This window comes from Homo sapiens, chromosome 3 (genome assembly GCF_000001405.40).
Source record: "Homo sapiens chromosome 3, GRCh38.p14 Primary Assembly".
NCBI classification, from domain to species: Eukaryota; Metazoa; Chordata; class Mammalia; order Primates; family Hominidae; genus Homo; species Homo sapiens.
The window spans coordinates 54,604,176-54,627,177 of record NC_000003.12 but is presented as its reverse complement, the minus strand read 5'-3'; the positions used below and the strand labels follow the sequence as shown (position 1 = coordinate 54,627,177).

General features: G+C 44.7%; 1 protein-coding gene, 1 long non-coding RNA gene and 1 pseudogene across 2 annotated transcripts in view; 1 reads left to right on the top strand and 2 right to left on the bottom strand.

Moving 5' to 3' along the window:
- Positions 1 to 23,002, bottom strand: part of CACNA2D3 (calcium voltage-gated channel auxiliary subunit alpha2delta 3) — a 952,006-nt gene that overhangs the window by 447,380 nt on the left and 481,624 nt on the right. The gene's annotated exons all lie outside the window — the stretch shown is intronic.
- On the bottom strand, positions 496 to 993 carry RPS15P5 (ribosomal protein S15 pseudogene 5; annotated as a pseudogene).
- On the top strand, positions 760 to 8,657 carry LOC107986088 (uncharacterized). The gene is made up of 5 exons (XR_001740705.3): positions 760 to 915; positions 3,491 to 3,567; positions 3,721 to 4,027; positions 6,353 to 6,478; positions 8,154 to 8,657. It is a non-coding gene; the product is annotated as an uncharacterized LOC107986088 (long non-coding RNA).

The following is a 23,002-nucleotide window of genomic DNA, read 5'->3' as shown; positions in this document are numbered from 1 at the left end:
ATACGGCATTACTCTGTCTTCATGTCTACCACATGCGTAATACACACAGAAGGGGCTCAGTAGATAGCTCTAAGGAGCAAGGATAAAGACTGGATCACAACATGAAAACTGTGATTATAACAAGACAGACACAGGCTAGAAATCCAGAAGAGCTCCAGGGAATAAGGAGAATGGGAGTGAGGCTCTTCCAGAGTAGGCCCTAAGACCCTTCTGGCTCTGCAGAAGCTCAGCATTAGCTAGAGATTAAAGGGGACTAAAGAAAGTAACTGCGAAACCCCACACGTTTCTGCTTCCCAACAAAGGGGCAAGAGCGAATTCAGGCTCATGCCCAGGAACAGGTCAGTGCACACAATGCATGTCCAGGAACACATGCATGTATGAGTGACCCAAAAGCCCACACCCATGGTGGCACCACGGCCTCGCTTTGCTTTCCAGTCACTGCATTCCGAACCCCTTTCTTTTTCTTTCTTTTTTTTTTTTTTTTTTTTTTTTTGACTGGAACCATGTGCGCCTTTATTAGCTGAGCCACTGCTTGAGAGGGATGAAGCGGGAGGAGTGGCTGGCCCCGATGCCGGGCCCGCCGTGCTTTATGGGCTTGTAGGTGATGGAGAACTCGCCCAGGTAGTGGTCGATCATCTCGGGCTTGATCTCCACCTGGTTGAAGGTCTTGCCGTTGTAGACGCCCACCATGCTGCCCACCATCTCGGGCAGGATGATCACGTCACGCAGGTGCGTCTTCACCACTTCCGGCTTCTCCATGGGCAGCGCCTCCTTCTTGGCCTTGCGCAGGCACTTCAGCAGGGAGTGCTGCTTCCGCCGCAGGCCCCGGTTCAGCCGCCGCTGCTGGCGCGCACTGTACAGCGGCATCAGCCGCTTGTAGGACATGTCCAGCAGCTGGTCCAGGTCCACGCCACGGTAGGTGAACCTGCGGAAGGTCTGCTTCTTCTGCTCTACTTCTGCCATCTTGCCGGATCCTCAGAAAAGAGCTCTCTGGTCCGCGCCTGCGCAGTTATCGTGAGACTCCCCTTGCTTTTTCTATTGAAATGGATTATTTTCTCCCCAAAGGCATCCCCACTTTTGTCCGCTGGGGAAACTGGCAGGGGGAGTCACCAGGAGGGAGAGGAACAGGAAGAATGAGCTCATGGAAAATATCCACCCATGATTTCCTTGCTAAGGAGTGGCTTTCTTTCTCTTACCACGCCCTAACACCCAACAACGCCCCAGGCATGCCATCAGCACTCAGATGGTGAAACCCATTCATGATGTGTCTAATTGGCCACACTGCTTAGGACCCCCAAAATGATCACGGAATCAAAATGGATCGTAGAGACAAATCTTAGGGCATGCTGATTGTTTTAAGATGCTGCTCTGCCTCTCCTTGGGTCCCCTCAGAAGCAGTAGGAGCCCCCAGTCATTGAGCTGGGCAGAAGATTTGCTGGCAAGATGGTGCCAGTGTGAACGCCAAAGTTTGGGTGGGTTCTTCATGGTAAAAACCTTTGAATGACACCTGGGCCTAACATGAATCGAGGCTGAATTTAAAACTGGTGGCTCACCTTGGGCACATATACAACCCACAAGACCCTCTTCCCTGGCCCGCTCCACTGTCATAGCAACCTTCCTTGCCCTCTGGCCCATCAGAGCAGCCACCATTATTGAAGCCTGCCTGGTGTTAGGCCCTTAAAAAATACAGTGCAACTGAGTCTTCATGACAATCATGTGAGGTTCCATCATCCCACTTTACAGATAGACTGAGAACTGTGTCCAAATACACACACCACCTAGTTGCCTGGCCCAGGTTTCAATCCAGGTCAGCTACACCTACTCTAATGCCCTTCTTCTTTCTGCTATATACCTGTTGTTTCTCTAAATTAGCAAAATAATATTTTTTTTTCTTTTTGAGCACCTTGTATGCCAGGCACTTGCCATGGGCTTGACATATACCTGAGCAGTCTGGCTCCAGAATGCTCACTTTAATCTCTGCTCCTGGGTGGGAGCTAAGTCTTCAGGGGATGATCAAATGGCTTGAGTGATGGGGGAGAGGAATGCTGAGGGCCAGGGAACTAGGCAGTCTCAGGGCCAGGAGCCAAGCTTTGTGCCTCTCTTTTCTTTCTGCCCAGTTCTCAAGGCCCATCAGGATGCCAAGTGCATGGCAGGTCCTCCAGGAATGCCTGGTGAACAAATCCAGGCAATTAACCGAGTCCAAGGAAGCCAGGCGTCCCAGCTGTAGTTGGGCAGGAAGGGAGTCTGCCTTCACCAACAACCACCCCCGGTGGAAATCAGGCTTGTGACCACCATGAGGACTTAGGCTCTGAAAGTGTCAACACATGGTGGTCCCCACACCCTCCTGCACCCACCTAGGGACACGGAGCATGATGAAACACCCATCACACAGCTCACTGAGAGGCTGGTCATTAACCAGCCCTAGATTCACAAAGCTGTGGCCAGACTCTGCCTTTACAAGTTCATTCTATTTGCCTGATGTCATTTCTGCCAAATGCCTTAATTGCACTCAGTCACACATGTTAACACAGCATTTTTTTCTTTTTTTTCTTGAGACGGAGTAGTCTCGCTCTGTCGCCCAGGCTGGAGTGCAGTGGGTGCGATCTCGGCTCACCAGAAGCTCCGCCTCCCGGGTTCACGCCATTCTCCTGCCTCAGCCTCCAGAGTAGCTGGGACTACAGGCGCCCGCCACCACGCCTGGCTAATTTTTTGTATTTTTAATAGAGACGGGGTTTCACCGTGTTAGCCAGGATGGTCTCGATCTCCTGACCTCATGATCCACCCGCCTCAGCCTCCCAAAGTGCTGGGATTACAGGCATGAGCCACCGGGCCCAGCCTACAGAGCATTTTTTTAAACAACCTGCACAACATTTAATTTTTCTTTTCATCTCTGTGTAGCTCATGTGGCACTTCAGGCAATGGTTGCTTTTTTACAGTTGGACATTTAGATCAAATGTAACAACATGTTATGGAGTTCCCTTTAATTCGCTTTTATAACAAGGTCAGTTGTGATTTTGTTTCTTCCTGGTACATATCTGGTCCATATGTTAGACAGAAAAACTATCTTCTCAAGTTAAGGACTCCCAAATGATGCCACCAATAAAGGACTCTCTGTGTTTGTTTCTCCCTCCTCTCTCTCTCTCATGTCCAACTCCCTCTTCTCCTCCTCCACACCCTGACCCAGATCACCCTCCTGGTCTTTGGAGCTTCATTTAGCCCTCTGCCCAACTCTCCTACACAAAACCAGCTCTTGTCTCCCAGGGAACTACCTCCCATGATGTGTCCTCCACTAAGAGCTGCTCTGTCCAGTTAGGTAGCCTTGAGCCACATGTAGAATTTACATTTAAATGTAATTATTAATAAAATTACCTAACATTAAAAATACAGTTCCTCAGTAGTGCTAACCTCATTTCAAGTGCTCATTAGCCACATGTGGCTAGTGGCTACTGCACTGGACACTGCCAATTAATGAACATCGCCATCATTGCAGGAAGTGCAACTGGACAGCACTGACCCAGAGACAGGGGTTAAAATGGACCTTCCTTCCTATCAAGCCATGGACTAATGGTGAGTCAGAGGAAGGTCTAAGACCTGGACCCAGGGACATGTGTGAGTTTTGCCTGCCCAGCATCAAGTCCCCTTCTTCTGATTTTCCTTCTCCCACCAACCCATAATTCATATGATTTGAGTGAAGCTAATGTCTCTCTCCCTCCCTCCCAGATTAAGGAGTGGGACCATTTATCAGACCTGTCTAGTCTATGAATTCCACCCCAAGGGCCACAGTTGTGCACGGGCATTGAGCCAATCCCTGGACTTCTGCTGGCACGTGGGAGGAAGGACTCTCTCTTTCCATGAGGATTGCTGAGAGGAAGCCTAGGGCTGCCAGCAATCATCCTGCCACCGCACGGGAGGTGCACACCTGAATGAAGGTAACAGCCGCAGAGAGCAAAGCCCACATGGAGGAGCCAGGACAGGATGGGGACAACAAGGCTTGAGCCCCTAGATCCGGGCATGCCTGGCCTTTTAGGTAAGTGAACCAATACCTTTGCTCCTCTGCTTAACCAGTTTTAGCTGATGTGGGCCACTTAATTGAAAAGATCCCTTATGATTACCACAACCAAACCAATGACCCTGGCTGCGGAGACCATACCTCGTGAAAGCTTCCCCTGCATTAAAATGATCTTCCTCTTCTCCCCTATGCCCCTCCTCCCCTTCTTAATCACAGCCATCGTATGGTGCGATCGGTTTACCGCGCCTGTGCTAGACTGAATACAGCACTTTATACACAGCAGGCTTTTGGTGCTCGAGGCTTTAACAGCCAGTGCTTTGACGACCCATGGCACGGAGGATTTGTGATTTTGCTGATGATCAATCCTAACCATGTACACCCCAAGGGTAGTGTCTGGAAGCAAAGGAAGGGGCTGGCTGACTGCCCTGCATCCTCTGCATCACTACAGATTTATTTTTCTCTACTCCCAGTTGTGGTCGTTGTAAGATCCAGAAATTGTTATGTTTAATGCCATCATATCATTGTTATTGTGTGGAGGCAATTGGTATACAGGCCCTATGAACTCTGATTTAAAAAAAAAAAAAACCAAAAACTGGCCAGGTGCAGTGGCTCATGCCTGTAATCCCAGCATTTTGGGAGGCCAAGGCAGGCAGATCACGAGGTCAGGAGATCGCAACCGTCCTGGCTAACATGGTGAAACCCCATCTCTACTAACAATACAAAAAATTAGCCAGACGTGGTGGCGGGCGCCTGTAGTCCCAGCTACTCGGGAGGCTGAGGCAGAAGAATGGCGTGAACCCGGGAGGCAGAGCTTGCAGTGAGCTGAGATTGCACCACTGCACTCCAGCCTGGGCGAAAGAGCGAGACTCCATTTCAAAACAAACAAACAAACAAAAAACTGAACTGGGGGTCAGGAGACTGAGTTCCAGTGCTGGTTATACCATTTACCAACTGAACCCCTGAGACAAGTGGCTTTAGTTCTCTGGCTTCAATTTTGCCTGCTGTGAAATGAGGATGGGAAAGCACCTGAGTAGTGGGTGGGGTAGTGAGAGCATCAGTGCCTCAGAACAGCAGGCAGGACTTCCTTCCAATTCCTGTTCTGACATTCGCCCTCTCTACAAGCCTGAGTAAGACACTGCCTTATCTGTGCCTTCATTTCTCTCTGATACTTGGTGGTACTGGGTTGACTTCTCCCTGGGGGACCCGAAAAAAGAAGTCATCTGAAAGAATTTTGGTGACAGAAAAAAAAGTGAGACTTTCATTTCATATTCACTAAAAGAAAGGACCGTCTTCAACATGTGAAAATTAAAACAGACTACATCTCCAACGCTTTCTATGCCCACTTCCTGGGTTGCAACTTTATAATCTAATAGACCTTGGAAAAGGAATTATTTTGCCTTTCGAGGGCCAGGTTTTCTCAAATGGATAGAGACACGTAGCTGACTTCACTGACCCCAGGACCCGAGTGCCTCAAGGGCACAGCTACAGAACAGAAGGCTCCAGATCGCCCAAGTCAGGGAGACGCTGAACAGCCGTGTACCAAAAGGTGGCCAGTTCTCATTATTTTTCTCAATTAAAATAAACCATTTATTGGAAATGGTGACAGTTCCATTTTATTATTAAACCTCAATAAAGGAGGAGGGTGGCTCTTTATCTTTGCTTCAAGCGACTCACGCAGCATATGCTGCTGCCCAGGAAAAAGCCTCGCTTCCAAAGCAATTAGTGCAGCTTAATGCCTGGGGAGATGAGCCCACGCTGGCGCCACCACTCCCTGTGCCAAATGCCAGCAGCACGGCCACATCCGCTTATCTCTGACAAACAGCCACAACGTTGAGGCCAGCAGAGGATCCTGGTGAAATAAGCCTCTCCTTCACCAGTATTCAGTTTAGTTGAATCATACTGATGACTCTCTGTGATCACAGCAATCATGTTTTTTTTCCTGTCTATGTAATTATAATAAATGTTTGAGTCCTTCCTGTTAAGAGCAAGGTGTCAAATGGACATCAGCGGACAAAACAAGCCCTTGAGAGCTGGTGGTCCTGGCTGGGAGTACAGCCGCTATTTGGAGGGGAGGCTAATAGCCATCTATCAATGACACCCATCAGGGTCATTCGAGTACTGCAGACATGAATTTCGTACCCATTAGGAGTGGACAAAGGTTGTTGCAGCAACTCCACCATGGGAAGGCTTCAGAAGTCACGTCACCAAGCCCTCCAAGGGCAGCCAATACTGGCAAAGTGACAACTGTATGCTAGGCATCACGTGCTTTTTGTACATTACTTTGTTTGATCCTCCTAACACCCCTAAAAGAAAGGTACTATTACATTCTTATTTTACATGTAGGCCGAGGACACTAGAAAGGTCAAGACAGCAGAGTGGGTTTCAAAGTGCTGAGTCCCTGTGCAATAGGGCCCCTTCACAGCGCCCAGGGCCCAGCTCTCTACGTCCCTGATAAACTACAGCATGCAGGTGGGTGCAGAGACTTAGGTTCGTGTGCAAAGCTAAGATTCCGTGCAGGGCTGGTTTCCAGGGGATGTGACATATGCAGTGGCCCAGAGTCCCATTTTCAGAAGGACTCAGTGTTTGGTTTAATGCTTTGTTACCACTGTCCTGAAATTCTTTATAATTGTATTTTTTGAATCTGTGATTTGTACGTGAAATCCAGTGGAGCAATGGAGCATGCCTGTGAGCAGAGGAGACACCCAAAAGATGGTGTCTGCTGCTCCTTGCTGCCCTGTTCACACGCAGCACAGAATTCTGGTGTGCTGCTACAGTGCAGGTATCCTCAAATGGACTTCACTTTAATAGGTCACTTTGCACTGTGGCTGTCAGGTAGCTCGAGCTCACTGGAAAATTAAAATTAAGGCATTAAAGGTAAGAGTGTTCTGTAGAGCCTCTTTCATTTTCAGTTCTGTCAGTAAACAGACACAGGATTGCCTGCTTTCTCCTAAAACAGAGATGTGGCTCCTATCAGCCTAAATGACGAGCAGGGTCCCAACAGCCATGTCCACCCTATTCTGATGCCCAACTCCTCAGTGAGACTTCCAGATAAGCTCATGGGGTTCTGTGGTCCCACTACTACTGTGCTCCAAACCCAAAGTGCAGAAGCCCATTTTTCAGAGGCTCAAAGGGTGCCCACACCTGTCCTCCCCGCTGATTTGGATATTACACCACAAGATTATCTGATGTAAATCTGGACACTTCCTCTTGATCTAATTCCTCCTGACAACACACACACACCCAACCCTAACCTCAACCTGGGATGAGTCTCTCATATTCCCATTTAGTCTGAGAACTCCCTTGGCTGACTTTTACAGCCTCTTTGGGGCAAATCTCTCAGGGATGTTAGGGCAGTGCAGAGCCAATATTATCTTGTAGGTAAGGCACATATCTTGTGACATGGCTACCACCAAGCCTAGGTTCCTGTAAATCAGACTGTCATTTAATTCCCGTGGGAAGCAGTGACATGGTATTTCTCAAAGAAGAAAACAGAATGGCTGAAGAAAGCTGGTAGGAAGGAGGCAGGCCCAGCTGTTTGCAATTTGGGGGAGACAGTACAGACACTGATAGAATGGCATCTGAGCTATTCCCCGTTTGTCCTTTACGTGTGTGTAACAAATTGATGTGTCTGAAGGTAGCAGCTGTTTAATGCCAGTGCCAAATTAGAGAAAAGATAGATCTCCTGGATGTGAACAATGAACATTATTTCATCCAGGTAGTCAGATTAGCTACATCCTCATTTCAATGGCAAAAGCACTAATTATTTCATGCAGGATGATGGTGATGAGCTCAGAATTGGTGATTCTCTACAATTGGGAAATACCTAAAGTGGAACAGCCCCTCCACCTAAGCAGTGCACATTTCCAAGTAACTGCTGAGGGGGAGGGACATGATGATTACCATGCCTGTGAACAAGGCCAGCTCCAAGAGGAGACGTATTATGTGAGCTCATCGTCCTTCTTGTGAGGTCATGTGGACTTGTCAGTGCATCTCAGGGAACTAAGCTTTGCGAACCCCTGAAAGCCTGGGAAAAGCTGAAGCCCAGTGCTGCATGGACAGGACGCCTGTGTTGTGTTTCTGCATGGCATGGCAGTGTGTGTACACAGTAGGCCTCACCCTTCACGTCTTTCTGAAATTTCCAAAGGTCTCCATGTATCCTTTATGAACTTCATGAAAATCTTGACTTGATTCAAATGCGTTTCTTGGAGGAAGAATGCTTTCAGTGGCTGCAGTGTGCCAGGGTAGACTGAAGTCAGTTTCAATTCATTACAAACACAGTGCCAGCTCTGAGGATGCCTCAGCTCAGAAGAGGTACGTATTGATAGCCAACACCCAGGGGGAATGTGATGCTGACCAGTGCTGTGGGTGCCAGCGCACTCGTCTGCATCAAACCATCACCTCGCAGTCACACCTACAGTTCTTTGCACTCAATGCAAAGCTATGGCCCAGGATTGGGGGAGCAGCGTGTGCTAAGACACAGGTTAGGAGCCATATTCCCCAAGCAGTGGTGGCTACATTCATTTCTGGGAAAGCTCAGCAAAGAAATGTGACCCCAGGGACACCTAAATTTGGACTTTTTCTGTATGAACACTTGGAAGATTTGTAGCGTTTTATAAAACTTGTATTCAATTAAAATGTGTTTCAATGATCTCTGTATTTTGCCAAGCTTAATTACATATGGGTATTAAACTTAATTGTCTGAATTTCTTCCATTCTTATTTGAGTCTGTGAATAAACAAATACCCTGTAAGGCACTGTGTGTGTGTGTGTGTGTGTGTGTGTGTGTGTGTGTGCATATATATATATATATATATATGTATGTATCAACATCAATTTGAACTTTGACCAGTCCCCTACTAGTGAAAGTTTAAATTTTCAGTATTTTATGTTTTCAACATTACTATAGTAAACATCTTTGTACTCACATTGTAGTGCATATGTGTAGTAAGATAATTATAACAACCTCATGGAAGATAAAGAATTGAGTCAATAATTTCTTCATTTATACCATGCAGAGTGACTGTGAGGACTTAATAAGATAATGTAGACAGAGTGCTTCATACAGAGTTCAGCATATAGTAGGCACTCAGTAAACACTAGATCTTATTAGTAGGGCACCTGTGGCTTACAATCCCTTATGGCACTGTATTTTTAGTCTATGAAAGTATCCAAGTTGAAATTCTAGAAACAAACAACAACAATTAAAAAAAAAAAAAACCCAAACTCTACATACAGAAAAAGGAAAGTCACTGGCTCCTAGAACGAGAAGACTGGGAGTGCAGCTGTCTCAGTGAAGGGAGGGACAGGGGACCCAGTGGTGGCCTCAGGGCTCAGTCTGTCTTCTCTATTGTATCTCCTGGCTCTACTTGGTTTCATTCCCCCAGCAAGCTCTTGAGCACACAGCTGCCTACATCAGTGGTCTCACATCCTCCTAGCTCAGCCTGCCCACTGGCAAGAGCTATGGTTGCCAGATAAATATAGGATGCCCAATTAACTTTGAATTTTGGATACATAACAATGAATATAATAAAAATGTATTCTTTGTTATCTGATATTTAAAATTGAGTGCCCTGTTTGTTTGTTTTGCAAAATCTGGCAACTTTACCCAAGAGCAGTTTCAGCAATATTGCTATCAGAAAAGTCCCCAGAAATACTCTGATCAGGCCAACTTAGGATGTGTGTCTGGGCCTGAGCCAATCAGGTGGCCAGAGAATGGGACCTCTGACTTATTCAGGTCTGGATCGCATCACCACGTCTGAACTTGAGGGTGTGGTGGGGAGAAATGGGGAAAGTCCTACCTGACTTCACCAAATGGGTTTTCTAAGGACAGAGGGATTTCATGTAAAGGATGAGAGAGAGAGGTGCTGGACAGATAAGAACAGTCGACTTACAAGCAGCTTCTCAGAAGAGGTACAGCCTTTTAGTGGCAGTAGCAAGGTCCATATTCTAGAAAAACACACTGATGCAGGCCAGGGTAGCAAAGGTGTGCCAAAACACATGCACTTCCACATGCATGCTCTCACTGCACTCATTTCCTCTGCAGCAGCATGTGGGGGCAGACATACATGTAGTGAGAAGATCAGATAAAGAAAAAATGGTAGCTTTTCCCAGGGATATCACAATATGCTTCTTAAAAGTTAGATAAAAGAGTTTCTAGAAAATAGGTGGTCCAGGGATGTTTTCAGGCCCAGCAGAAAGAGAATGCCCGAGACAGAAGAGAAGAGACTGCTACCATCAACTAATATTCTCTGGGTGCCCTCTACACACCAGCCTTGTCCCTGAGTCCTCATGAGTTCAATCCTCACAGCAATCCCCAGACAGAAGGTAGGTACTCTTATTACCCTCCTTTTAAGAATGAGAGAATGAATTCACATCACTTGACTAGGTCTCACAGCTAATAAATGGTAGAGCTGGAGCTTATATCCAAGCATTTGGTCTCTAAAAAAGTTTTTTTGCCAGAAACTTTTTATATTAGAAAATTTTAATGATCAACTCACAGCCAATCTTGTTTTATCAATATCCTGACACCATCTACATCGACGTCCCTTTTGGCAGCCAGCCTCCAAAATGGCCTCCTATGATTCTCACCCACTGATACGCAGACCCTTGTGTTGGGCCCTCTTACATTACACCAGGGGTTGGTGTCTGCAACAAAGAGAATGTCATAGAAGTGATGGTATGCCACCTGCAAGATTAGGTTGTAAGTAACACTATGGCTTCTATCACAGTTGCTCGTCTGATCTCTATTGGATACCTCCCTCTGGAGGAAGCCAACTGCTTTGCTGGAAGCAGCCCTGGGGAGATGCCATGGAGTAAGAAACTGAAGCTTCCAACCAACAGCTGTCAGGGAACTGAAGTCTCTTTCCAAGAGCCATATGAATTAGCTTAGACATGGATCTTCCATCCTAGCCAGCCCTTGGAAGACCAGCCCCCAGCCTACATCCTGAATGCAACCTCACTAGAGACCCTGAGCCAGAACAACCCAGTCAGGCTACTCCTGGGTTCTTGAGTCCAGGAACTACATGAGATAATAAATGTTTGTTGTTTTAAGCCTATGGTCCCCAATCTTTTTGGCACTAGAGACTGGTTTCACGGAAGACAATCTGTCCAAGGACAGGGGTATGGGGAGGTAGCCCGGGATGGTAGCGGGGCAGGGCGAAGGATGAAATTGTTCCACCTCAAATCATCAGGCATTACTTAGATTCTCATAAGGGGCACACAACCTAGATTCCTTGTATGCATAGTTCACAATAAGGTTTGCACTCCTGTAAGAATCAAATGATGCTGCTGGCTGATCTGAGGTAGAGCTCAGGTGGTAATGCTTGCTCACTCACCCGCTACTTACCTCCTGCTGTGCAGCCTGGTTCCTAACAGACCAGAGACCAGTATGGTATTTGATCTGTGGCCTGTGGGTTGGGGACCCCTGTTTTAGCTATTAAGTTTAGGGGTAATTTGTTCCACAACAGCAGATAACTAATATACTCATCTAGATTATTGTGAAGCACATCCCAGATATCATATTATTTCATCTGTAAACATTTTAAAAACAAACCACGTTTCACTTTGTCACAGTTACACAGTTTGAATGAGGATTCATGTTAAGATCTACTCATTGTGATTGATTGAGATATCTCTTAAGTCTCTTATTCTAGAGTTCCCTCTCCATTATTTTTCTCACAAGTTTTGTTGAAGAAATAACTTGTTGGTCATGAAGAGCATTCCAGAATCCAGATTTTACTAACTGTATTTCTGAGGTGTCATTTAACATGTTCTTCTGTCCCTCTATTTTAATTGATGGTGAGATTGAGCAGTTTGATTGGATTCAGATTTGACTACATATTTATTTATTTATTTGGTATTTACTTATTTATTTGCTATTCATTCGTGATGTTTTTTTACTTCCCTCCAACAAATGAGTAGTAGTCTCCTTGCGATGATGGTAGTCATCAACGACCAATGCCCAGATTCATTAATTCATCAGAAGCTGCAACATAGTGATATTTTAATTTCATCATCTCTCTTCATTTATTAGATAACCAATTTCTGCGAAGAAGTGCTTCCTCTTTTGCACTGTTAAGTCAGCTGAAGAACCACTTGTAGAAGAAAATTGGATAAATGTTAGCTGCCGTTCATTTCTTTACTGGTTTTCAAAATAAAGATTGGTCCGAAGGTGATCAATGAGGATCTCCCACACCCTTTTTCTTTTTTAGTATCATCAATGGCTTTTCTGCTTCATCATTTTAGTCTCAGCATGGGTTGTAACATATATTATATGTTTCCAAATGTTGATGATTTTTGTGTGTTTTTTTGGGGAGTGGTGGAGGGATATTTAATTTATCCCATCTTTGGCCAGTGGGAGCCGCTTCTCTTCAGACTTGCTACCAAGGCCCCATACAGTAGTTGATAGCTTCCTGCTATCACAATAAGCAAGAGGTTACAGACTCATCTTGTTCATCTTCTGCCCCTAACCTAGAATCGGCCATTTCTCTAAGGAACCAAGAAATTCACCATTCTTAACCATTTACACTCTATTATCTCTGTATTTTCCTTGAGCATACACCTGGGGAATGAGAAGGAAGGAGGAAGAGAAAAAAATAACTGAAGAGGGCCAAGTAAAAGGGCAAAGAAGAAAAGTGTAACATGGCCATCTGAGAAGCTTGCACAAAATGTGATGCAAACATTACTCCAAAAACCTGACAGGCAAAGTGACAAGTAAATACAGTGGGGAAGCACTTGCTAGACCCTGGCCTGGAATTTACTCCAAGGACAGGAAACATGGTGAGGGAAAGATTGGCATTAGAACAATTTGATGAAATAGGCAAGAGTTTCATGCTTGAGTAAGACAGGCTCTGCCCTGGGCCAGTACCATAGTGAGAATTCAAATTCTATCCTCAGCAATGGAAGGGGCCTCCAAGGACACCCATTAGGTACAACGTCCTCTGGTCTAAGTGAAGTGAGGTCTGCCTATATTAGCCCCACATCTTTGCTACCAAAGACTCTCCTTCCCTTTCCTCATGGTACACATTTTATCCCAATATCCTTGCAGCATTCATTGAGTCATCAAATGTTTATTAAGAAGCCACCAAGTACAACATGCTGTGCTTGATCAATTGAACAAGGGGAGACCTGGTCTCTTCCTGCAGAGTTCACAGGCCAGTGGAGAGAGATCTCAATCAATAAGCACACAGCTACATGCAGGAGTAGCAAGTACCATCAGGGAGAGGCTCATGGTGATTTGGTAGTGTATTTCGTAGTATAAAACAGAGGCACTAAAGGAGGGCCTGGAGGTAAAGGCAGGGCTGCTAGAGCATGAGATTTTTAGATGGAGAAATAGTGTTTGTAGGTACCAAGGCTCCGGGGTAGGAGGAAACAGAGCATACACAAATAATTGTAACAAAGTCATGGAATCCAGAGCAAAGAAAGGAAAAAGGAACACAGCGCACCATGAGCCTGGAAATGCAGCAAGGAGCCAGACTCAGCAGGAACTTCCAGGCATTCAGTGTTTGTGTTCACTAAGTTATTGGCTACAGTGGTTGTTTAAGGATCAAGAGACCTTAAGACTCAGAGGTAAGATGGAATGACATGCTGTAGGTTCATAATATGGGATAGAAAGCCTTCTCAGCGACCCTTAGATTAGCAGCAGTGGACCATGAGTAAACAGAAACGTGGACCTCAAAGAACAAGGCAAGAGAGGCCCAGGGCCATTCACAGGCTATAAAACCAAACAGCTGTAATTCACAAGAAATGGAAACATGGATTTTCATCCTCAGGACATGAAATAAGTGCTCCCATTACAGAAAATTAAGATTCAGTCACTACCAAGGGAAACAAAACAGCAGAGAAATCTCTGCAACAAAGACTTTTATGACACACCAATACAGGAAACTTTTTTCTTTTTTGAATTCACTGTTGGAAGATCAAAGATATACCTTGTTAAATTATCCAAGTCATTTTTCTGAAGCAAAACACCTCTTTGCAAATGTACAGTCTACCTGGCAGGTAAAAATGCAAATTAATAAACATAATGTACACTGTAAGAGGTCTGTGGCCGTTAAGTCACAGGTCAACTAAATATCCACTGTGACTCTGATCCACTTAGTGGAGACAGTCTCATGACATTTATTGTTTGTATCCACCTGTGAATGTGGCCAGGATGCTTGTCATGTCTAGTCATGGGGGTGGTCCATTTTCACAGCAGTTCACCAAAACCCTTTCCTGTATCCCTGAGCCACAGCAAATACAGGGGCCCCTCCTCTGCACAGACTGCTTATCCCAGCAATGTAGGACTGTGGGGGTAATAAGGCGGTCCAGTCTTGTCTGCCACTGTAGACTGGTGGGTCATTTCAGCTGGCTGAAAAACTAAGTTTTAAATGGGGCGATTAGCAGGTAGGCATCCTCAGATTCATCCGCTGGTCTTATCCCTTCCCAGAGCTTGCTCTTTCTCAGTTATCAGGGCATCTTCCCAGCGCCCTGGACCTTATCTACTTTTTGACCTGGTAGGCAGTAGATTTCATGAGTATAATTAATATATCTCTACTCACCTCTAATTGAAATTAAAGGAAATTTAGAAAGAATTCATTATTCCCATCACAGAGAAACTAGCAAAATATGCTAATCATCTGACATCTGGATAATACTCTTCACAAAGATAATAAATGCAGGAGCTAGAGAAGGTCCTTCACTTGGGGTTCAGGCCTTCCACGGGCCTCCCTGACTTTACTTCCATAAAGCCAACTTGGCCTTTTTCTCTGTTGCTCACGGTCCTTGGGCTGCTTCTGATTCCAGGTAGACTATGATTATGAGTCTAAAAAAAATGATTAATGTCAGTGCAACAGCAGGGAGAATCCATGAGAGGGTTTCCTCAGTCAATCAGGAGAAGGCCCTGAAACCGGCCCAGATCAAAGATGTCTGACCAGGAAACACCAGACCATTTAGGAAAAAGAAATTCTCCTCCAACAGGGTGTGCTTTATGGAACCCACCTTATTGGCTCTGCTGATTTTCAGCTGTAAGCCCTCACTTCCCTCTCTTCCTCACTTCCTTCCTCTTCCTCTTCCCAAGGGGAGCAGAGGAAGGGGAAGGAAACCAACCCTGGGACAGCCAACTAGTAGAATGAACAGAACTGGTGTGAATCCCAACTCCTGGGACAGACCATGGGGGCATTGGCATTCTTTCTTTAAATCTCTTCCTTTTAATATAGTCCTTGTGCAAATGTGTACAGCACCAGGAATAAGTTAATATGATGCATGATCCTTTTCGAAAGATAAAACAAACATCCCTTTAACAGTATGTGTGCTGAATTCATTTATTTAAAACAGAAAATGCCACATAACTCCAATATGCGATTCTGGAATAGGCACTGATTTTTTTTTTCACTCTTCTCTCTCCACATCCTGCCAAAATCTGAATATAATTTTCAAGGTGGTATCACATATTAAAGATGGCAATTCTTATCCAAGTTTGAAAAGATTCTTCTCTGCACTCCACCCCCTTTCTGAGACCAAGTCAGCAAAGAGACTGGATAGTCCTGGGCCCCAGGCCTCATCATTCCATGTTTCTCATTTTATGGAAACTACTCATTTGAGCACAAAAGCAGGCACACTAAATTAACAAAATGGCCCTTCCAGTCAGCATTTTAGAAGAAAAATGATTCCACTGCTGAATCAATAAGTGGCACACCAAGGATCTTAAAGACAAAGACAAAAGAGCACCTGGCTAAGGTGACCCTATCTGTGGAGAGAAGTCATTCACAGTCTGAGTCTTTGGAAGTGGGACATAAATTGACATGCAGAAATTGAGAGAGAGTTATTTGAAGGCTGCTTAGCCAAGATGATTCAAATAACCTCCTGAAGCAGAAATACCGTCTGAGAAAGGGTTGACAATTAGAAACATGTGACTCAAAAACACAGCTAAACCCCATGCATCCCCACACACAGAACCACATGCACAGAGTACAGTTAGGTGTGACATGTATTTCAATCCAGCTAGGCTGTATTCACACTTTGCTCAGGTGGAGTTGTGACTTTGACACAAACTCTCAAAGGTTATTTCTGCACGAGGCTTGGCTGAGTCCCTCAATTAGGACAAACCTCCAGATACAGCACTCACTGACACATTCTTTCCTGGATTCTGGGATAAGACTGGGACATGAATGCTGTCCACAAACTTGCAAAGAGGGCGATGCTACATTTGGCGAAGAAAAGCCAGGGATTAGAGAAGAGGTATTTGAAAAAAAATGTCCAGGCAGGGTGTGGTGGCTCACTCCTGTAATCCCAGCATTTTGGGAGGCCAAGGCGGGTGGATCACCTGAGGTCAGGAGTTCGAGACCAGCCTGGCCAACATGGTGAAACCCCATCTCTACCAACAATACAAAATTAGCCGGGCATGGTGGCGGATGTCTGTAATACCAGCTACTTGGGAGGCTGAGGCAGAAGAATCACTTGAATCTGGGAGGCGGTGGTTACAGTTACAGTGAGTCAAGATCATGCCACTGCACTCCAGCCTGGGTGACGAGAGTGAAACTCCATCTCAAAAAGAAAAAAAAAGGAAAGAAGAAAAGATCCAAAACATGGGTCCTGGAAAATTCTGAAATATAGAAGCCAGATACAGTCAGATCTAGTCTGTCAAATGCTTCAGTTTTCAAACAAACCTGCATTAACACCCATCACCCAGCTCCCACTGAATCAGTCTTGAGGTGGGTAGGGCATTGAAACGGACTTAAAAAAAAAAAAGCATTATGATTCTGCTGCTACACTGCAAATTAAAATCCTCTGCTTTAAGGAGTGTAAAATTAAAAGGAGCAGCTTAGCCTGAAAGAAGCAAAAACGAAAAGTAACCAAGTAAAATTTTAAGGCATGTATCCCAATCATTGCAAAGTACTTGGCAGGTATTATGGGTTAAATTGTGTCCTGCAAAAAGACATGTTGAAGTCCAAACCCCAGTACCTTAGAATGTGATCTTATTTAGGATAGGGCCATTACTAACGTAATTAATTAAGTTAATATGAGGTCACTGGGATGGGCCCCTAATCTAGCGTTTTTATAAGAGACACAGCCACACACAGGGTGAAGATGACCATATGAAGATGGAGGCAGAGACTGGAGTGATGCATCTAGATGCCAAGGAAGGCCAAGGATCGATAGCCACCACCAGAGGCTAGAAGAGGCAAGGAAGGAATCTCCCTTGCAGGCTTCCGAGGAAGCATGACCTGCCAATACCTTGGTTTCAAACTTCTAGCCTCCAGAACTGTAAGACAATATACTTCTGTTATTTTAAGCCACCAAGTTTGTGGTACTTTGTTATGGCCGTCCAAGAAAATGTACACAACAACATTTCCCAAATCACCACCTACAAAACTTACTTGATTAAATGGTGTTCCTAGAAAATGCTTTGGAAATGCCATAAAATAAATTATTTAACTCTTGGAGAGAGTCACAATATACACAAGCATTTTAAAAGCTCTGAGAAGTCGTGTGGTGAAGAAGCATATTTAAAATTTTTTTCATTTGTCATTTTAAGCTTTCTTTGACCACAAAACCCCCTCCTCTCTGTTCCCTATTAGCGGACGTGTTAAGATCACATCATAGAACTGCTATTTCCTCAAGTACATTTTTGAGAAACACCTGCTTTGCCAATAAAAAAGGAGAAGCATGCTATGAACTTGCTCTTTCTAAGAAACATGGTTAGATGCCAGGTTTCCACAGCCATCCTTGTCACTTGATGTGCAAGCAGGACCTGAGATATTTCAAACACGTTTAGAGTCTATCTGAGTTTCCCTCTGTATTAATTTGCCAGGGCTGCCACAACAAAACATCACAGGCTGAGTGGCTTAAGCCACTCAGATCTATATTTTCTTACAGTTTTAGAGGTTAGAAGTCTAAGGTGAAGGTGTCGGCAGTTTTGGCTTCTCCCGAGGCCTCCTTTCTTGGTATACAGATGGCCACCTTATCACTAGGTCTTTTAGTGACCTTTTCACTGTGCATGTGTATCACTGATGCCTCTTTTTCTAATAAGAACAGCTACCATATTGGCTCACAGCCACACCCTTATGACCTCATTTAACCTTAACTGTCTCTTTAAAGGCCCCATCTCCAAATACACATTAAAGATTAGGGCTTAAACACACAGTTGTTGGGGGGACATGATTCAGTCCATAACACCCCCTCAATTGCTCAGTCAGGAGGCATAGGTTCTTGGGTTGTAGTTAAGAAAACAGACGAAAAAGGTTAAGTTCCTCAAGGTCTCTAGCAAGTATCAGACTCCAGATCACAACTCAATGGCTTCAACGTCATGGGGTCCATTCACCTCCCCACACTACTTAGCCTCTATCCCCTGCAAGCCTCTTCTATGGCAAGAAGGTCCCTAGTTATACATTTCTTCAATAGATTGTGCATTCTTTTAAAACACATTACTTTATTGCGCAAAGAAATTTGGCCATGACATTTTTAAATCTGCAAGAGTCATGTTCATCATAGCAAGCAGCAAGGATGAAGCCACATCTTTGAGCACTACCACTGAGATTTCCAGCAAAGTGGTCTACACACAGCATGGTCTACACCAGTCTTTGTTATCTCAAAGCTTGGCAAGGGAGGAAAAACCTTACGGTGGTTAAACACACAAATTCTGGAGCCAGGCCACGTGCATGCAAAACCTAGCCATACTACTCTTTATTGTGTGTGTGATTTTCGTAACATCTCTTCCTCCATAAAATGGGCAAAACAGAATGCACCAGACAAGGCTGTTGGGAAGGTCAAATGAGATGAGCAAAGGGCTGGAAACTAGCAAATATTCAGGAATTATTAGCTGCTATTAGGGGAATGTTTAAAGCCTTTTAAAAAATAATTATAGACTGACATAAAAGTTGCAAAGCTAGTATCAGAAAGTTCCTGTGCCCTTCACCCAGCTTCCCCCAATGATAACATCTTTATTGTAGTATAATATTCAAACCCAGGAAACTGACAGTGGTATAACACTGTTAACCTAACTACAGACTTCATTTGGATTTCACCAGTTTTCACATTCATTTTTTTGTTGTGTGTACAATTTTATGAAATTTTATCACAAGAATAGACTTGTGTCACAACCACCACAATCAGGATTCAGAACTGTTCTATCACCATAAAGAAACTCCCTTGCAATAACCCTTTATCGCCCTATACTCCCCTCCACTCCTAGTCCCTGGAAACCACTGATCATTTTCTATCACTATAATTTTATTTTGAGAATGTCATATAAATGGAATCATACAGTATGTAACTTTTTGAGACTGGCTTTTTTTAACTTAGCAGTTCTTCTGTATGAATGTACCATAGTCTGTTTATTCATTCCCGTGCTGAAGGAAACTTGGGTTGTTTCCAGTTTGGGTGGTTACAATGAAAACTGCTAGGAGCATTCATGTGCAAGTCTTTGTATAAACATAATTTTTCATTCCTTTTGGTAAATATCCAGGAATGGGATTGCTGGGTCATAGGTAAAGTCATACAGTATCCATATGTTTAAATTTATGAGAAAATTGCCAAACTGTTTTCCAGAATGGCTGCACTATTTTACGTTCCTATCAACAACCTATGAGAGATCCAATTGCTCTGTGTCCTAGCCCGCATTTAGTATTGTCAGTATTTTTTTTTACTCTGGCTATTGTGTGTAGCGGCACTGTGGGAATTTCTCATCACTTGGAGAGTCTTGCCGGGGGATATATGAGGGGATGGCAATGATGCAGGGAGTCCGGCCTCATCGGCAGGAGAATCACTTGAACCCAGGAGGTGGAGGTTGCAGTGAGCCAAGATGGCACCACTGCACTCTAGCCTGGGTGACAGAGAGTGAGACTCTGCCTCAAAAAACAAAACAAAACAAAAAAACCAGCTGCATGGGGAGCCATTCCACAGTCAGAAACTATAGTGCCGCATGACCTCAGGGACAGGAGGTGGGGAGAAACAGATCTAGAGGGACATGAACATGCCCACTGGAGATACAGAAAGTATGTCCTTCCCTTGCACAGTGCCAATTCCTCTGCCCAGGGGCTCCCTTAATGTTGTTCATTCTCAGTGGCAATGGCAAAATACTATTGAAATGGAAACCTTAAAATTGGGTTTTTGTCCACTTACTGCTTCTCTGGCTCGAAGGACTACATGGAAAAGATTTTCAACTTCACTTCTGAGGCAAATTAAAAAATATGTTTCTCAAAAAGTCATATGAAGTAGTGAAGAGGATCTGAAGTGACTCAGAGGAATATGCAGGCAAGCATGAAGCGAATATCTGCAGCACAGGACTGGGAGATAGGTGCATTTTGCTGAAAAGGTTGTGGATACTATGATTATGTTAATTTAGACTTTTATAGTCAGAGTTGAGCAAAGAGGGATTAGAGAGGGGGTGAAAAGAAGTAGAGCCTTCAGGCCACGTCGTCTTCTTGTTCATGACCCAGGGATCCAGTGCTCCAGTGTGTGCGCACAGGGCTACATTTGCAGGGCTGCAGCACCACAAATGCAGGCTGGAATGGAGCGAGCGGGAGCCTCCGAATTCAACTCACTTCATGTGCCTTGTTTCCCAGAATGGCGTCTCCTAGTCTTCCTCATCTCGGCAAATGGCAATCCTCCCAAGACTCAGACCCCAAATCCTAGCATCATCCTTGTCTCTTCTTCCTGGAACCCACATCCCAATAGCCAGCAAGTCCTGTCACCTGTGCCTTCAAGAGAGCCAGCATCTGGCCACGCTTTACCCACTCCACCACTCTCACCCTGGGGTGAGCCACCATCCTCTGTTTCCTGAATCTTGGCAGTAACCTTCTAACTGGTTGTCCTACCTCTACCTTCCCCAGCCCCGACTTGCTCCCCAGCATCCAGCCTATTCCTTGTGCTGAAAGAGACTTCCTCTATCGACTATTCCAACCTTCTTATAGTACTGAAAATAACTCCTTCAACCCTAGAAAGGCTGCTCTCCAGCCCCTGAAAAGTATAAAACAAGAAGCCAATAGGAGGAATGCATTGGTTGTTATTATGTGATTCATAAATGAAATATATATATATATATAAAGTTACATTACATAGTCAAGTGAAAATAGTACCTGGTTCTAATGCAATTTGATAAGCCCCCTTCCCCTGATTCATTGCTATGTTCTGCCTTCAAATAAAGAAAAAGGAAGAATAGTTAATCTAAGCTACAGAAATGGATCAGACTCTGTACTCATCTCAGAATTAAAATTCAATTTATTCTACTAGTAAAGGAGTCTGCACCATAATCTGAAGGCATTACAGAAGAAAAGTCACTCAAATGAGCTGGAGCAAATATCATCAAATTCATATGAAATGATTTCTCCTATAGATTATTATTTATACATGCCACACAGCTGTCAATCAGTTCCTGTCTGCATTTAGTACAAACTCACTTATCTAATTCTGACGTGCACTAGGATTCACAGTAATGTCCCCAGAAGGACTGGCACATGCTTTTCTGGGATCTACATACTGGAAAATGAGACAAAGCCTCTGGCCTCATAGAACTTACATACTAGTGGGTGGGGGCAATAATGGGGAGAGACACCAAATAAATTTAAAGATATTTAAGGTAAAATAGCGTAACAATAAGAAACAAGTGTTCTGTATGGTGGGTTGGGTGAGAAAGAGTGAAGTAGGGAGCATGGGCTGCTGTGGTTGGGTGGTCAGGGTGGTCCCACTAAGAGTGGTAGCATTCGAGGCAAGTCCTTGGCTGGAAAAGTCATTGCATGTCTGAAATGCTGGTGAATAATAAAGACTGGGAATGGATGGGGTTAGAAGGTGAGTCCACAATAGGATAAGGGCCATTATCATGCATGGTGAGGAGCTTGAAACTTCTCAGAACCATCATTAGGCATGTGGGTTTCAACCAGTGTTTGGGTTGAATTGTGTCCCCCACAAAAGATACACTGAAGCCCTAATCCTCAGTCCTAGAAGGGTTGCTGCAGATGTAATTAGCTGCCTTAAGATGAAGTCACACTGGAGTAGGTTGGACCCCTAATGCAATATGACTGGTGTCTTTAGAAAAGATGACCAGGTGAAGATAGACACACAGAATGCCACGTGAAGACAGAGGACAGGAATTATACATCTGCAAGCCAGAGAACACCAAAGATTGCAGGAAAACCACCAAAACTAGGAGCAGGCCAAAAAAGATTCCTCTACAGGTTTCAGGGGAAGCTTGGCTCTGCTGACAATTTGATTTTCAGACTGTCAGCCTCCAGAACTGTGAGACAATACATTTCTGCTGTTTTAAGCCACCTACTTTGTGGTACTTCATCACAGCAGCCCTTGCGAACTACTCCAGCAGTACGGCCTTCATGAGATGTTGACTACAGAAGGGATGTGATCTGATGTTTATGTTAACAAGGCACAGCACTCTGTCTCTTGCGTGGAGAATAGGCTGGATGCTGGGGATCAAGTGGGGGCTGGGGAAGGCAAAGGTAGGACAACCTATTAGAAGGTTACTGCCAAGATTCAGGAAACAGAGAATGGTGGCTCAGCCCAGGGTGAGAGCAGTGGAGTGGGTAAAGCGTGGCCAGAGGCTGGCTCTCTTGAAGGCACAGGTGACAGGACTTGCTAGCTACTGGGATGTGGGTTCCAGGAAGAAGAAACAAAGATGATGCTAGGATTTGGGGTCTGAGTCTTGGAAAGGAGGACTGCTGTTTGCTGAGATGAGGAAGACTAGGAGAAGGTGTGATTTGGGGAGGTAAGGCCAAGAGTTTGGTTTTCGATACAAGAAACTTACATTCCTGATTAACATGCCAAAGGACCCCTGAGTAGGCAGGGCTGAGATCAGGGTTGGCAGTGTGAGTGCTGGCATCATTGGGGTCTAAAGTCTGGGTCTAACAATACTTTATTATCTGTCTTCTTCCACCTGAACTTGTATCTCCATGGGAGAAGGGACTTCATCACTCTTGCTCCCCATTATACCCCTAAAGTCCTAATGGTGCTTAGCCTAAGGCAGACACTCAAATGTTTGTTGAATCAATGGGCAAATCAACACAC